Consider the following 18,253-nt stretch of genomic DNA (forward strand, 5'->3'; position numbering starts at 1 on the left):
CTCTTCCAAGAATTATCTCTGAAAACAAAAGCATTAAGAAAAATAATGTATTGGCAGGTAGACGGGCTTTCATTTCAGGAAATTTGGCGGAGTGTTGGAGGGCTGTGTTTGTGGAAGGCCTGAGGGTGAGGATGGCATGCAGTGAATGCCAGACCTGGTTACCCTCTCTCTCTGCACCTTCATATCCCTCTGCCTGATCTTCAGCTACTCACACACATTCCTCCTCTGCAGGGATCCTGGAGCTGGCATGGCCTCATCCTCTCCTTCCAGGCCCACATCCAGAGGCATAAAACCTGTGCCACCACCAGTAGTGTCATCTGAAGAGGTTGCCAGTGTGTCTATTCCCAGGCAAGATGCACCTATAGGGCTTTCCCAAGACCCCCTCTCCTTCGCTGTGTCCCCATCAAGTCTACAGGTGAGTCTTGATAACATAAGACTATAGATACATTGGCTCCTGGCATGAAGGAGTTAAGACCTGGAGAAGTCAGGGTATCTAAATGCCTTCCTTAAATGCCTCTCTGCCTTCTTCCAATCAAGTCCTTCTGTAGCTGATAGAGAGGTTCAAGCATGAGTAACCAACTCTAACAAAGAAATTCCTACCCACCCACCCACCTCTGCCCCATGCTACTTGAAACCAGGGAAATTCACAGATCAGAAAAGTTTAAATATGCCAAAAAAATTTTGCACATTTAAAAATACAGACTAATACAATACTCCTTGCTTTTTTGGTATAAGAAGTGGGTATTGAATCACAATAATGCCTCTTATTTATTTAGGAGACAAGGTCTCACTCTGTCACACAGGCTGGAGTGCAGTGGTGCAATCAGGCTCACTGTAGCCTCAAACTCCTAGGTGCAAGCGACTTCCAGGCTCAGCCTCATGATTAAACTAGGACTACAGGTGTGCACCACCATGCCTGGCTAATTTCCTCATTAATTTTTGTAGAGACAGGGGTCCCACTGAGTTGCCTAGGCTGGTCTCAAACTCCTGGCCTCAAGTGATCCTCCAGCCTTGGCCTTCCAAAAAGCTGGGATTACAGGCATGAACCACTGTGCCTGGCCACATCTCACTTTTAAAACTGTGGGGATTACTTTATAATTTCCCAGAAAGCCAGAGCATGCTTACACCTGCACCCATGCATATCAGGTCATTGATAGCCCTTAATTAGGAGTAGGGTACCTGCTAAACTAAATTGAAATTCATTGATATGATCCAGTTATCAAAAGACAGGATGCTTTTTATCAAAAAAGTCTCTCCAAAATACCCTATTCATGAGAACATTAATTGAAGGACACCTTTCCAGGCTCAGGGCCAAGAGGCCAAGTCACTCTACCCTACTTCACAGGGGCTGCATGAAGTTGTTCTGTATACGGTGCAACAAGTTGTTCTGTATATGGTTCACTTGGGACCTGGGGCATGCAGCACAATTTCTAAACACTGGAGGATAAAGGAAGGGCCACCAGAAGAAAACCCAAGTTGCAAAGACAAGCTTGGGCTTACTCATTAAAGATGTGTTCTTTGGCCTCTCGGAGGAGCTACTTGAAAGTCACCTCCACTTAAAATCCTTGGCTCAGGATCTTCTTACTGCTTTATCACCCAAGTCTACTAAAATCCTTAGAATAACTGATGATGAAAATCTCAGCCAATTTTTTTTCTTTTCCTGGGGTTAGGAGGGGGGAAAAAACCAATACGTGAGTCTATTTGAAATCATTTTATGAACTTTAATCATAGCAAATGTGTTTTTACGGTAGTCATAAAATCAACATTACCACATATACAAAGGACAAGACACCAGTTTGGCATACAAAAATACCATATATTAAAATTGGGTTCATTGGAAAACTCAGGACTGGCTAAGACACCATCTATAACAGAGAGAGCAAGCAAGAATGCTTTTAAGACATTCAGATTTATAAACAGCAGCTTGATATCCCCTTTACGAAGTCAATATTTGGCAACATTTGGACAATATTTTCTACACAGCCCAGCAGCTCATTTATCTGTAGGGCTATTTGGCCCTTAAAAAAAAAAAAAAAAAAAAAAAAAGCTCCTAAAATAAATAATCCACATAATTGTAAATGAAACACATCAAGGATTTGAGTTAATAGCCTCTGAGCAGCATTAATATAGCCATTAGACTGGAGTATTTGTTATCAAGAGGGCCAGAGAACCCACCGCTAAAGCCGTAGGGTGGGAGGAACCCTGGATTGCAGCTACATGGCTTATGTAGGGAGTTTGTAACAGCCCCAAGCTGAAACCAGCTTCTACACCCATGACTGTTGAGTGAGGCAAACACAAACAAGTGGTGAAATGAAAAAATATATGACGGCAACCAGGATATATAAACTGAAATATTCTTGAACTCATTTTCCCAACAGTACTGACATACTCAAGTCAGGATAGATCCACAGGAACAGGCCTTGCATTCCATGGTTAAGAGGATTCTAGAGTCTGTCTGCACTGACGTGGCAACCAACTCTAGAGCGGACTCTGAAATTGCCTAGTGTGCTAACAATCCAAACCACGAGCATAGGATAGGGTGATAGGGAAAATGGGGACTCCTTGGACCCTCATGAGCTGAGCACATTACCCCACATGTCTTCAACTGAAGCATCCTGAATTGAACTTGGTAGTCCGTACTGGAATGACAGATTGTGCTTGACTAAGTTGTCCTAGTTGTCCTGTGCTTCTTTCTCCAGCTGGTTTCTGCCATATCTGGCCTTCAGCTCCTATATGTCTTGTTTTGCAGCTATACTCTTCCTTTATTAAGTATTTTCTCCCTCTTTGGGTATATCTGCCTGTCCCTTCACATAGACCCAGTGCTTCATGTCTCCCTTTCCCTCTCCCTCTCCCTCTACTTAATAGTTGCATTGTCCCTCAACCCAGAAAATCCTATGAGGATTTGTAAATGAAATCCTCATAGGATTTTCCTAAAGCACAGTGTAAGGTACCAGCTACTGTGTTCTCCCACTATTTAACAGAGGTATCAACTAGATCCCCTTTAAGAGGCATTTGTCATCTCTATTTCCTTCTGCTTACAGCCCATGCTCTTCCACCACTATTATATCCAACTGTCTACTTCTGGATTTTCAAAAAGCAAATGTTGAATTAAAAATGGGCCATCCCTTTGGAAAACTCCTGTTAGAATAACCCAATAACTCACACCCCAAGGAGATTACAGAAGACTTTCACATGGGCTACTAGCCCTACATCCCATGGAAATAAATTTGGAGCAGTGTTCTAGAACAAAGACAGCTACAGGGAAGCACTCCCACAAAAACAAAGAAAATGCATGCTGTTGCAGACTTCAAGAGGTCCCTCAGTACTCTGCCCCAAATATTACTGATTGTCCCTAAAAATATCATAGTATGAATAATATAAAAAACCTTAGATTAGAATAATAAAATCGAGCTAATGAGATGAGTATTTCAAGCACCACTACATCATAGGTGAGATATATATAGTGGGATACCCCAGGCAGTGAATCCTGAAAAAAAAAAAAAAAAAAAAAGTCATTGGCTCGACTGAGCAAGAAAATTTGTGCAGAAAAATGGGAACCAAATTGCAGGGATTCGGGAATAATGGTGCACTCGCCCTAACCACTTGAGCAGATCCAAAAAATAAGGTATTTGGAAGAAATTAAATGCCCCACCTGCTTAAGTTCTTCAATGATTAATGGCTTTCCAATAAAATGTATACAGTAGAACCTACCTCTTCATATATTTGAAAAGTTTCAAGTGTTTATATAGACACTCCCAAAGGTAGTTAGTTTGACATAATGTATGCAGCCCATAGCAACAGTTAAGAAATTAGCATCTAATCCAATATTGTATAACTCACAAATTGGAAAACATGACTAATAACAGTTTTTTACTGAATTTTAACTCCAATTACAGCTAAATCGTGGTGTGTGTGTGTGTGTGTGTGTAGTAAGTCAGTTGTGTCAGAAAAATCAATGGCTTGAATTTCCACTTATCTTTTAGAAGTGTTTCATGTTGGCTGGGTGCAGTGGCCCATGCCTGTAATCCCAGCACTTTGGGAGGCCGAGGCGGGTGGATCGCCTGAAGTCAGAAGTTGGAGACCAGCCTGACCAACATGGAGAAACCCCGTCTCTACTTTAAAAAATACAAAATTAGCTGGGCATGGAGGCGCATGCCTATAATCCCAGCTACTCAGGAGGCTGAGGCAGGAGAATAGCTTGAACCTGGGAGGCGGAGGTTGCAGTGAGCTGAGATCATGCCATTGCACTCTGGCCTGGGCACCAAGAGCAAAACTCCATCTCATAAATAAATAAATAAATAAATAAGTGTCTCATGTTGAACAAAATCCAGCAACTGAACATCGTTGCTTTTTAAATAGACTACTACTTTCAAAACAGCTACTGAATTATCTCGACTATCTTATTATTCTCAATAGTTTCTGTTTTGGTAAGAATTACCTTGTAGGTGACAATTTACTGAGAATGATGGAAATGTCAAGGAACAGCTTCTCTATCTAAGTCAGGGATGACAGACTGACTACCTGACACTTCTTATGTGGAAACAAAATGCTGACTGGTGGGCAGCATCACTTTTCTGAGAAAAGATAGAAATTGAAGTCTTTTGTGTATCACTCCTTTTGCACCGATAACTTTTGAACTTCTATCTTCCTATTAAGGCTAAAGAAAGATTAGTATCTTGGCAAAAAAAAAAAAATTAAATGATTTTTAAAGGCAAGCTAAGAAGGAAAGTCTTGCACATTGATGAGTTCTAGAAAAAAAAAATCAACCCATTTCTGCTAAAATGAAGTAAATGTATTTTGTATATATTCCATTTGGAAAACAATGAAAAGCAGACTAACCAATTTTGAAACAACATAAGTTTTCAAATAAAGGGATGGGAACTCTTAAAATCAAAATCTAGACTGGAATAAATACCAGATTATCAGTAAGAATCTGGTCTTTATAGGAAATATATCTCAAACTGAATTTTCTGCTTCCTTTTATTTAGCTAAAAAGTAATTATTGTAGCTTTAGTAAACTTCAAGTCTTTAAATTTCATGGGCAGTATTTTTTACTGTTAAAAAAAGTGCTTTTGTGCAAAGCTTCAAATCTTCAACTCTTTCAGGGATAACTGAAATTTTTGCTTAAAAAAGAAAGACACTAAAACAATGTCAAATCTCATTCTAAAAATACTACCTACATTTTAGTTTGGCATCTGAAAAATGATGCCCACATATGCCCACACCAAATACAACGACAAGCTGGCCAACTTCAAGGGCAAACAAAACCAGTCTGAACACTGCAAAACATGCTTGCTCTTATATTTGCACCTTACTAATACAGCAATGAAGTTTGGATAGGATACTGGAAGTGAACAGGGATTTCATTAGGCTTTTTTTTTCCTGTAACATTTACTTTTTGGCCACAAGACCCTAGACACAATTTCACAGTACAGATCATGCATAGCTTGCAAGTCAAACGTTTTACAGGTACTGTCTAACTACTATTTTTGGACAATAGGTTAACATGCAGCTAATGATCCCAGAAAAGGGGCTTAATAAAGCATTCTTTAAGCTTCACTGATCATTCCTTGGCCTAAAATCTATAAGCAACAGTTCCAAAGGGCAACAATGAATTTTTACTGTCATACTTGAGATCACATACTTTTTAAGCCCAGAAAGGAATGTTTTGCCTTTTGCCAACTGCATGTCACTAGCCCACAAACTCTCACCTTAGCCTCACTGTTACTCCATTAATACCTTGATGCTGGATCCCCAAGCGCTATCACCCAGAACTGCATCGTTCAATATGGCAGCCACTAGACACATAGGGCTATTTAAATTTAAGCTAATTAAAATTAAATAAAATTTGAAATCCAGTTCTTCCCTTGTAGTAACCCCATTTTAACTGCCTAAAAGTCAATGTGCCTGGTGGCTACCGTACCAGACGGCACAGGTTTTCGAGCATTTCCATCATCACAGAAAGCCCTATTGAACAGTGCCAATCTAGAAGATCTCACAGGTTATACCATCACATGGTTTAACCTTCAAGGGACCCAATCTGTAAGCCATGCAAAAAATTAAACTTAATTCTATTTTTAAAGAAAACATCTTAGAGCTTTCTGATCATTAAGTATGACTGGAACCAAAAACCAAGTTGCCTTTTCATCACAACTTATGCCCCAAGTCATTATACAAAATTTTTCCAAAGACAATGCTTCTTAGTAGCATTCTTGGCTCTACTTAACATATTAAGCATTCTCTTCCTTATTTCAAGATCATTAATAAAGATGAAAATTCATGCTTCTTATAGTTTACTATTTATACAACACTCACTGTCCTTTACATACAAGTGGGGTGGGAGGTTTGGACACCAATGTTTTACAATTTTAAAAATTCAAACCACATGGTTTGATAGTTGTCTTTCAACATCTATACTCATCCCTAAGTCAACCCTCCTTTCATTTTCCCAGAGAGGTAGATGCTAACTAAAATGAGTACATAAACCTACAAAAAAAATTCTTTAAAGCAATAGTTGACTCAGTAAAGGGTATTCATCAACCCTAGAAAGGATCATAGCCAGATAGAGATATAGACAGACCTAGGATGGAGCAAGAAGACACTGCAGTGCGAAGTTCATATCCCCCCCTTTCTGCAGAATTACAAAACGGACTCATCTACAAAATGAAGCCACCGGAGGCTGCTTTCAGCTCTTTCTGTGCTTTCCAGTTGTGACTTTTCATTAATGTGCAAGTATGAATCCTGGCCTCTTGTGTCAGTGGACTTTGGTCACATGGGTAGATGTGTTTGTTAAGGGTCATTGGTAAATGCCAGAAGAGGCCAGAGCAATGGGATGCCAAGCAACATTAAAACATCATTAAGCCTATAAAATTCTATCTGGGAGACTGAGATTCTCTCTCTCTCTCTCTCTCTCACACACACACACACACACACACACACACACACACACATACACAAGAATGCACACCCCAACAAACAGGTACACAAATAACTGCAAGCAGATCCATTTAAACAATTTAAACAATGTTTCTTAGGTCAGTAAGACTCACAAAAAAAATCTGATTTTGGTTGTTGTTGTTAAATTTAAGGTCAAGAATCTACCATACAGCCGATTAATTTTGCACTGCTTAATGGCAACTCTAGCATGGGATTGTTTTTAAGTAAAAGTTCTATGGACATTTTTACTCTACAGATTTGCACTAAGAAACACAGGACACTATCATCACACACATTAGTGTCTATATCTAACCTACTTTAACAAGTAGAACTCTATCACGTACTATACTACAGGGTCAGTCATTTCACACTGTACAGAAACATATGCAGATATCACTCACAAAATTAATCTGAATATGGCATAGCTTAAAATTGCAAGGGCAAAGTCTATTCGAAATGTAGCATTCTTAATGCAACACTTCTGTGGTGTGTGTGTGTGTGTATTTTCCTCCAAGAGAAATAGAAATTAGGTCAGACATGCATTATGGCAGCCTGGGAGAGTTTGAGAAATTGACACTAACCCAACAGTATATTATGTTATGTAATAGAGGATAGTATTCAGCTAATATGACACCTAAATTATTAATACCAAATAAATCCTAGATTATTTGTTGTATAATGCCCAAGAGCTTACACAATAAAATGGCATTTTAACCTAATTTCTATTTTGAGCTTTCAAATACATTTCCTAAAGGTTTTATGATCAATTTGAAAAATCAGAGCTCACAATTTTATGTTGAATTCTCATGCCAATTAGCAGTATTAGCTTTGTATTCTAGCCATTATATTTTTGTTTTATTTCACATTAATTCCATCACTTTTATATGCATATTTTGTGCTGCTTGAAGATAACAGACAGCATGTAAATAAATTAAATTGTCTTGACCTCACAGGGCTATTTTCTAGCCTTGCTTTTTGGAATTAGCCCTGCTTGTCTTTCCTTCACTTCCCCCCACCCTCCTCACCATTTTCAGGGATTCAGTGGAACATAAAAACAGTTATATTTATAAGTGGAGTCCTTGTCACATACCACTTGCTTCATGAATTCCATAAAAGAAGTTAGATGAGAGCTGTAAAGCTCACAGCTATTTCTGAATGCACATGCACCCAGGGATAGGAATTTATCACGTACTTGTAGCAGATCTTTCTTCATGAGCATCTATAGATCATTACACATTTAAGAACATTTGACAGTTTATGAGGAACTGGTCCACTTATATTGGGAATTTGAGCTGTTAGTTTACCTTGCCACCTTTCTTGGTAAAAACGTGTTAAAATACAGGAGATCTTCTCTCATATCAACAAGAGGAAACAGGAATTCTAACTGGCTTAACTCTTGTGGAAGAGCATCTTTCAAAAAAGAATCACAGGCCATTTATTAAAATGCCCGCCTGGGTTGACCATCAGTCACAACACTCATGGCCAGTGCAAGACTCCAAAACCAGGAGAAAAGACACTCTTCTGTTACTCTCCATTTGCCTCTTACAAAATGCAGGACTTAAATACACAGAAGAGGAGCGAGTGTTGCAGGTGACGTGTAGGAGACCACTCGCTGGGTCAAGATGTCCAAGAAGTGGCCACCGCTTCAGAGACTTGACTCATTCATGCCCAATGAAGTCTTCATCCCAGGATTCTTCAGCAAAGACTCAAACACCTGAGGTAAATCAAATTAGACACACACACATACACACACAAATACACAATATTTACATTTGAAATTCTTATTTTGTGAGATGGCTTGAGGAAAATCGGCATACAGGTTTTCCCATGGGATTAGACATTTCTCATGATTTCTCGGTTTATTGCTCCCCTGTTGAGCTTTCAGTTCCATAAACACGTAGCAAGCTCTAATTACAAGTGAAGAAAATGAAGGTTCATGACAAAACACAACACATTGGAGACACTTGTTCAAATATTTCCTCCAAATAAAATGACTGTCCATTTTGACTTATTTTGTTTTGGTGCCATTCAAAATGTATTAAAAGCCTTAGCAACTAAATGAAGACTGGGTTTCAATAAAAAGAAAAAAAAAATAAAGAAGCCAGCAGTGCATGTCTTCACTGAATTTTTACACGGATTCGCAGGTTTAATTCTACTTGTCTACAGAGCATCTTTGTTTGAATCTACCGCATTTAGAGAAGGTCACATTGTACGCACTTGTACAGTTTAACGTCTAAGTAGAATATGTCTATCTTGTAACATGATTTTGAAAAATCATAAATTACAGTCCATTGAATACATGATTATGAGGATGCATGCAATCATCTTCCAAGCTGTTGCCATCAACACTCAGAACAATTCACCTGGTATCTTGTTGAGACCGCACCTTCTGCCCTTTGTGTCTGTCTTGGGGTAATCAAGAGGCAACCCAGAGGCCAGCGCTCAGCACCAAATGGTCAGTGTTGCCCCCCATCTTCTCACTGGGATCTCATCATCAACCTGCTCAACCCCTAAGTTGGCACCCACAAGAGACTTCCCTGCAGCCCTCTTCAGCCACAGGATATCACAGTGAAGCGCTTAGAAATGCAAGACATGTTGTGAAGCACGATGCCGAGGAGGAAGACCAAGACGCAAGCCACCAAGATGACAGTGCACACCCCCGACCAGGTGGAGCTTTTCACCACGCCCCGCCTGTCCTGCTCCTCCTCCACCGCCTCCTGGGGAGCCCCACCTTGCAGAGGCTGCTGTTCAGCAGGGATGGTCACCACGGTGACGGACTTCTGCTGGCTCCCGGGCAGCAGGCGGCAGCCCATGTCTCCGGGCAGCAGCGCACGCTCCTTGGAGATGGGCAGGGGCAGCATGTAGCACCCATTGCTGGGAAGTTTGATGAAGACCGGGGTGTGTTCGGAAGTGTGTGGAATGGCGATGACAGCCAGGACCTCCGGGTCGTCCGGGAGCTGCGACACGGAGAAGCCGGGAGGCAGCTTGGTGACACCGCGGCACCAGGGGCACCGCACATCCTTCTGGCTGGTCCTCATCTGCTGCAGGCACACTGAACAGCAGGTGTGCTTGCAGTCCAGCAACTTGGGCCTGCGCCGGGGGCTGTAGTAATTGAAACAGATCTGACATTCCAGCAGAGAGTCCTGGGACAGCGTCTCCATGGTGGACCGTGAGCAGGAAGGGCAAGGCCAAGGTGAAGGGGAAGGAGCTGCTTCTCAGAGGCCACCGCCCTGTGTCTTTGCAGTGCAGGTAATGGCAAGCTCACAGGCATCCAGTACTCACAGGTGTGTTCATTTCTGAGAGAGACAAATAATGCAAACAATCTTAATTATTTCAAAGAAGTTGAGATGTCAACATATCTAATGGATTTATACCATTGCTCAAAAGTCTTGACACTGGGCCAAAAGCCTAAAAATTTACCAGTCTTGAGACTACAGGATTCCCATAACGCCCAGTGAAAGGCGAATGAAAGTTGTCTCAGAGAGCATGTCATGGCAAATACTTAGTTCATTTCTAAAAAAATGAACAACTCCAATAGTTGTAGACGATGCATCTGTATTTCATAAAGAGGGCGTCTTTTGTTTCTGTTTTGTACATTTAAGCAAGCTCTGGGTCATCCTTCTAAAATATACTAGAGAAACTTTCCTGCTTCCAATAAGTTCATAGTATTTCCTAGAAGTAAATTTCTCTCCTTAGATCCTCTGACCTTTTTTCCTGACTCTACTTACCCACTTGTAAGTCTTAATTGCAAGATTTAGGCAACTTCACAAACCTAGGTACTTCCTATAACTAACTCGCTCAGTTTACATATATGGGTTAGGATTGTTCCTCTTCACAGAGAAGTAAAGTGACACTGCAGAAGAAGCACACGAAGGCATCTTTCATCTTTCCCAACAAATCATTTGAAGAGAACAAAACAAAAAACCCCAAACAGCAACAAAACCAAAAGCAGCAGTGAAGCTTAAGGCAGTGTGGATCACAAAGGCACACTCATCACAAAGGCATCACTGACATTTTCCAGTCAGTTCTTTTTGTTTCATTACTACTTAGGCTTGTACCAAGTAACACAACTAAAAGCAAGTACGATTGACCCATGAACAACACAGGTTTGAACCACATGGATCCACTTAAGTACGAATTTTTTGAATAGATACGGTCAGCCCTTTCTATGAGTGGGTTCTGCATCTGCGACCAAATGACATCAAAAATACAGCGTTCTCAGGATGCAAAGCCCCTGTATACCGAGGGCCATCTTTTCATATTCTTGGGTTTTATAGCACCAACTGTGGGCCTTGAGTATTCACAGGTTTTGGTATACATGGGGGTCCTGGAACCAATGCCCTCAGATAGAGAGATGACTGAACCATTAATTCACTAATTGAAATCAAATATTCTATAGTTAAAGGTTGACAGGGAAGTCTGGCAAGCATTCCTCATTGTAAAAAAAAAAAAAAAGTGTTAGCATCCTGGTATGGAGGGGAGGCAGAGAAACTTAGTTCAACTTCACTGAAGTTTGGGAATGTCCTCTAACGCTCCACTGGCATTTCAGTAAGGGCTGCCTGACTCAGTTTCCCATTGAAAGCATCCAAATTATGTGTCCCTGGATGGAGCCATGATGACTCTAGAAAGAATTACTCAACCACTATTGCAGAAAAAATTGCTAGTCCTAGAACCCCACCAACACCTAGAGATGGGAGCTATAACACTCCTTCACATTTGTCTTAAAAGTGACCCTTCTTTTTCCTTTCCAATTTCCTTTGTGAAATTAAGAAAGCACTCCCCCATCATGATATATAATGTGTTAACAATCAAAATTAAGAATGCACCAAAAACCAACCTGGCCGGCGTGGGGGCTCACACCTGCAATCCCAGCACTTTGGGAGGCCGAGGAGGGGGAATCGTTTGAGCTCAGGAGTTTGAGACCAGCCTGGGCAACATGGTGAAACCCTATCTCTACAAAAAATACAAAAACTAGCCAGGCATGGTGGCAAGCACCTCTAGTCCCGGCTACTCAGTAGGCTGAGGTGGGAGGACCACCTGAGCCTGGGAGGTTGAGGCTGCAGTGAGCCGTGTTTGCACCACTGCACTCCAGCCTGGATGACAGAATGAGACCCTGTCTCAAATTAAAAAAAAAACAAAAAACAAAAAACAAGAAAAAGCAAACCAGTTCAAAGACAAAAATAACCACTGTTAAAAACTAGTAACAATGAAAAGATCAACATACTTTAAAATACATTAGCTATATTAGAAACACTTAAGTTACTGAAAGTGAAATACAGTAATGTAGCATTCAGGAAGTTCATATCAGGATCAACTACATAGCTATCCACTAATTCAAAAAATATTTATGGAATATCTATTATGCACAAAGCACAAAGCTAAATACTGTAGGATATAAATCAGACCCAGATTCTACCCGAAAACAACTTAAACCTAGGTAAGAAGGAACACACGAATATATTTTTTCTTTCATTCATTTATTCATTCAAATTTTCATTGCATATCTACTATGTGTCAAGCGTGATGTTCCTTTTTGTCCCTTGTAACTAAGATCTTGTCATTGCCCATAAGAAAGTCCTGGCCTAGAGATGGGAGCGCTAAGTACTTAGACAATTGTAACGTAAATACAAGGTACCCTAAGGGAGCCGAAGGAATCAGGGGGAATTTAGTGAAAAATCTGGATTATCGAATTAGACACAAAAAATCAGGGGACAGGCTATTTTCAGGTTATGGAATCAGCATGAGCAAAGGAAAGAAGGTAAGCGATTACAGAATTATTTTCTATTCTACCTGGGACACTGGCTAGAGGATTGTTTCTAATACTAGAGCAACTTACAGAAGTCTTCTCTAAGAGTTTGATCGTTTTAGCCCTTACAGTCTCTGATACAGATGTCTTTTAAAGAAATAAAACTCTCAGAGAACCTGCAAGCACTCTCCCCAGACCCAACCAGGGATAGCAGATCCCACAGGGAGGGGAGAAATGAGCTTAGTCAGGCACAGGCCAGAGACTGTGGACCGTGGGCAGCCCCCAGTGCCAGGCCAAGGATTCAGGAGTTTAGAGTGAGCAATGGGAAAACACCAGAAAGGTTAAGAGTAGCAGAACAATTCATTCAAGGGTAGACTGGAAAGACCTATTGGGAGGCTATTACATTAGGCAAGAGTTAAATGAGTAGCTGAAGTGAATAGTGATGATTAGGACAGAATGATGAGATGTGAGAAGAGGTTCACAGAATTCCAGCAGGATCTTGCAGGGTATTGCAATGAGGTTGTACAGTGAAAGAAGCCAAAAATGAAGCCTTTAGAGGAAGGTAATATCATTATGAGAAATAGGGATCATGAAGAGAAATACAATGAGTTCTGTTCAGGCCATATTCCACTGGAGGTGCTGGGGAAGGTATTTAAGTTATTTAGGAAGATATTAAAGAGTCAAAGAGAAGGTCAGGCACAGTGGCTCACGCCTGTAATCTCAGCACTTTGGGAGGCCAAGGCAGGTGGATCACTTGAGGCCAGGAGTTTGAGACCAGCCTAGTCAACATAACGAGACTCTGTCTCTACTAAAAATAAAAAAATTAGCTGGGTGTGGTGGTGGACACCTGTAATCCCAGCTACTCAGGAGGCTGAGGCAGGATAATCACTTAAACCCGGGAGGCGGAGATTGCAGTGAGGCAACATCGCACCACTGCACTCCAGCCTGAATGACAGAGTGGGACACTATCTCAAAAAAAAAAAAAAAAAAAAAGAATCCGGCCGGGCATGGTGGCTCACGCCTGTAATCCTAGCACTTTGGGAGGCTGAGGCAGGCGGATCACGAGGTCAGGAGATCGAGACCATCCTGGCTAATATGGTGAAACCCCGTCTCTACTAAAAATACAAAAAATTAGCCAGGCATGGTGGCGGACGCCTGTAGTCCCAGCTACTCGGGAGGCTGAGGCAGGAGAATGGTGTGAACCCAGGGGGCGGAGCTTGCAATGAGCAGAGATCGCACCACTGCACTCCAGCCTGGGTGACAGAGAGAGACTCCGTCTCACCAAAAAAAAAAAAAAAAAAAAAAAAAAAAGAGTAGGATAAAATTCTTCTATAATTTTATATCCAAGGTAATACATTTTTTTTTCTTAAAACAAAACAAAATACAGGGTTCGTTGGTGAATCCTGCTCTATCTGTCTCCAGGTGAAAGTGCACAGACAGCAATCAGGTGAGACTATGATTGACTCTACTGAGATGTAGCTGTGCCTGCGGGGAAGGATTGCTCACGTTGAGCTACGGGTGGGTAGGAACAATAAAATTGAGGCAGGGTACAAAATTTTACAGACTCCTGCAATTTTATGAATTTGGAGAGACTTTTCCTTAACAGGAAAACCCTCAATTGCAAATGAGGCTGGGGACAAAAATGTTTCATGACATCATATCAAAACAGTGACCACCGATTTATGTATAAACCTTCTTTCTTTCCATACTATTTACCTTAACTTCTACATCACAATGTGGGAAGTAGCTCAGCAGAGTGGGAAGACTGGAGGTTTGGGACTCAAAGAACCTTGGGCTCAAAGCCTAGCTCTGTCACTAACCAGCTGTGATACCAGGCCAAAGTCATTTACCTTCTCTGAGCCTGCTTTCTCCCTGGCCAAGCAGGGATGATGGAGTTGTGGCTGAAGGTCAAGTGAGCTCATGGGATCCACATACTTCCACACAGTGAAAGGTTCAGAGAGGACAGTGCTTGTTCTCCACTTCCTCTCCACTCAGTCTAGTGCTCTGCACTGAGGCACATATCTGCCCAGAGGCACTTCCTGGCTATCAAAGAGCTGCCACTTGGAACAGCTTGGGAGGAGGCATGCAAGTGTTCTTCCTGGCCCTGCCCCAAGACCTGCGTACCATCATTGGTCAACAAAACCAATATGCAATTTTATTCATGAATTTATGTTCCAAGTAATGTTCCCTTAATTTGTGTTAAGCTCCCTTAAAATTAGATTATCCTATTCCATTTCCAACTCTATCCAAGTAAGTTCTAGGCCTTACAAGCCATTTTGACAGCAGCCTCTCTGATTTATGCACTGATTTGTTCTACATGAAGCCAGCCTGTACTGCATTCCAGTTTATTTTCTGGAGCGTAATTAGTAATGATGATGATTCGTTAGGTAAAGAGAAGGAAATTTATGAGGCTATGGAGTGAAGCTAATGATGGATCATTCTTTCCCCCTTTCATCATGAAGTCTAAAGATGTGCATCAACTATAGAAGAAAGAATGGAAACAAAGTCCATGTAGACCAGAAAAGAAATTCAGAGTTCCCTGTCAAGCGTGTTATAATAAACACATATCAGTGATTACTTTAGAGCAAGGGTCTCCAACCCCCAGGCCACCAACCAGTACCAGTCTACAACCTGTAAGGAACCAGGCTACATAGCAGAAGGTCAGCAGCTGGTGACAGACAATTACCGCCTGAGCTCCACCTCCCGTCAGATCAGCGATGGCATTAGATTCTCATAGGAGCACAAACCCTACTGTGAACTTCACATGCAAGGGATCTAGACTGCACACTCTTTATGAGGATCTAACTAATGCCTGATGATCTGAGGTGGAACAGTTTCATCCTGAAACCATCGGTCCCTACCCATCCGTCCTGTGGAAAAATTGTCTTCCACAAAACCCATCCCTGGTGCCAAAAATGTTGGGGACTGCTGCTTCAGAGACCTGTTTGGCCTTGTTTTCCTTACAGGAAGAGCAAGATGTGATACTCCAATAAAATACTCATTAAGATTTAAAGGGAAAGAGTACTTCAGTAGAATGCATAAGAACAAGTATATAAGAAAATATATGAGAACAATTTTTAAATGTCACCACAATTTATTTGAGAAAAACTTAAAGTCAAGATCAAAGTGAAAAACAGACCACAAAGAGAAGAACAGTGGCTCGGGGAGGGCATTCTTAAAAAATAGATGGCTCCCAAGATAGAACTTATTTCAAACATAACCTCATAAAACAGTACATAGTTACATAAATAATATTAATTGAACAATATATAGATAAACAAAAGGGGTCTTTGTGTTGTTGTTGCTGTTGTTATTTTGAGGCCCTAGATATTTTGTGCTTTTGAAAGTCCTTTACAATAACAATTTACTTTCACAAAATAAAATTTCTTTTTAAAAACTATACATAATTTTATGCATCTTTTGAAAAGGTACAGGTGTGACAAAGTGCGCGCATTCATTTGGTAGGTGGTAAAATAGCAAAGATCTCCAACATTGAATTTTTATAATCCCAGTTGCTTTTAGAAGTCTAGGCATATGAGCCCAAGGATAAAAAAAGCCAGTGAAGTAGATAATCCAGATAGTTTTACTCTGCTTACACTCTTAAGAATCTTCATACATTCTGTGACAGTGGGGTTAATTATGAAGTCTCTCTGTGGAGTTGTGGCCTGAGCTGATATTGATTACATCGGGCTGACCTTGAAGTGTTCCATTTAATAGTCTCTATGAGGACCTTAAATTCAATGGTTGTGTTGAGAAAAAAACTCAAATGCAGAGATTAAACTAGGCACTACATTGCTTTTCTTTTCCTATTGAAATAGCACATCTTTCTGATACAGGCCATCTACTTAAATCTTCAACAAAATATAAATATTTGAAATGGGATTAAACAAAATAATCACAATTCCATTTCATCTGGTATTTCAGCTGGCTTGCCAGCCACTTAGTTATATTGGATCTTAGCAAACACTCCAATTAGTGGCAAGAATGGGAATGCCCGGTGACAGATGTGTCATTGACTTTTTGTCCTCTGGTAGCAAAGAGCAATCCTTCCAGGACACAACTGCTGCATACATGCGTAGTCCAATTGACGTAACTACAGTCATTGTTTTAATGGAGCAGGACTTTGACAAACCTCAACTGAGAATTCCATTGGCTCGAGCTCTAATATTTGCACAGTTTCCTCCTATGAGCATCCTGGTTTGCTGTATTTGATGAAGCAAAGAATCCAGAAAGTGAAAATTGTCGTTTAAACATGTTTTTTGTTTTTTTGAGATGGACTCTCACTCACCCAGGCTGGAATGCAGTGGTGCAATCTTGGCTCACCGCAACCTCCGCTTCTTGGGTCCAGGCTATTCTCCTGCCTCAGCCTCCTGAGTAGCTGGGATTACAGGTGTGCACCACCACACCCAGCTAATTTTTTTTGTATTTTTAGTAGAGATAGGGTTTCGCCATATTGGCCAGGCTGGTCTCGAACTCCTGACTTCAACTGATCTGCCCGTCTCAGCCTCTCAAAGTGCTGGGATCACAGGCGTGAGCCACCACGCCCAGCCTTTTGGTTATTTAAGATGTTTACATATTTAAACAGGGAATAGGGCAGGCGATGCTGACAGTGCTGGAGGCCAACTGGCCCAGGTGGCAGAGGCAGGCAGGATGGGACAGAGAGAATAATACTGGTTGAACCAGACAAAAGCAGCACACCATCCAGAAGGCCAAGGTCACCCCAGGGACTCACCACACAACTGAAGGCCTGGCCCTGCCAGCACAGCCCACTAGGTCAACTGTGGGCCCAATTGGCCTGGCTGCAGCCTAGGTGCTGTCCCTGTCTGGATGTGCCGTGGAGCCAAGGGCATCCTGTGCCAGGGGACTCTGCTAGGGCATGTGCCAATTCTGTCGCTACAAAACTCAACTAACCAAGCACCATGGTCACCAGAGAGGTATTTACCCAGCCCCAGGTGCATTTTGTTTATGTCAAATTAACAAACAATGAATGAATTTGACCCCTCCATGGTTTGATGATGCATATTTAAAAATCAAAGTATATTGGAATCTAGACATTTTTAGGAATTAAAGCCACATGTCAGTATTGCAGTGAGTGATGATAACTACTGGTTTTTGTTTGTATATCTGCCAATCATTACTATTAGGAATCAGGAGATAAGGATTCTAGCTCTTATTCTGTCGTTACATAGATAGGTTACCTTAAGCAAATAACCTCTAGATGAGCCTCCTATTTCCTCCCCTGACAAATGAGGACTCTGGATTAGATGGTCCCCTAAAGCACCTTCTAGTAAAAATATTCTATGACCTAAATAATTGCTGAAAACACTGCTGGGTTTCCAACCGCATGGCAGTACTGCCAGGCCACTTATTCTATGCTTCTCATCCCTGACAGATCATTTACAAATATTATCTGTTAGTGATCTGGCAAGAATGCGCATTTATGTGAGATGGGGGAGTGGGCATATAAACTACTTAGAAATTTCTCCCTTGATGCCTTCAGCTTAATGAGTGCATCTAGCTAGAGCCCATATCCTAACAGAAAATGCTACAACTTCAATTTTTTAGCAACTA

The 18,253-nt window shown here is 41.2% G+C and overlaps 1 protein-coding gene across 7 annotated transcripts in view, besides 1 other annotated feature; it reads right to left on the reverse strand.

The window, feature by feature from the left end:
* Window positions 1–1,700: 1,700 nt before the first annotated feature.
* The window catches only part of RNF152 (ring finger protein 152), an 86,346-nt gene continuing 69,793 nt past the window's right edge, over window positions 1,701–18,253 (reverse strand). For all 7 annotated transcript variants that reach the window (XM_005266652.4, XM_017025612.2, XM_005266650.4 and 4 more), the window contains one exon: window positions 1,701–10,232. In XM_005266652.4, coding sequence (XP_005266709.1) covers window positions 9,486–10,097 — 612 coding nt within the window. In that variant the 5' untranslated portion in view covers window positions 10,098–10,232 and the 3' untranslated portion in view covers window positions 1,701–9,485. The remainder of the gene's footprint in view (window positions 10,233–18,253) is intronic.
* Window positions 9,861–10,420: an enhancer, noted in NCBI's record as "H3K4me1 hESC enhancer chr18:59483460-59484019 (GRCh37/hg19 assembly coordinates)". NCBI's record gives its function as "activates a minimal SCP1, AML or CMV promoter by ChIP-STARR-seq in primed H9 embryonic stem cells {active_cell/tissue: H9 hESC(primed)}" and the evidence as "EXISTENCE:reporter gene assay evidence [ECO:0000049][PMID:30033119]".

Source organism: Homo sapiens, chromosome 18 (genome assembly GCF_000001405.40).
Source record: "Homo sapiens chromosome 18, GRCh38.p14 Primary Assembly".
In the NCBI taxonomy this organism is placed as follows: domain Eukaryota; kingdom Metazoa; phylum Chordata; class Mammalia; order Primates; family Hominidae; genus Homo; species Homo sapiens.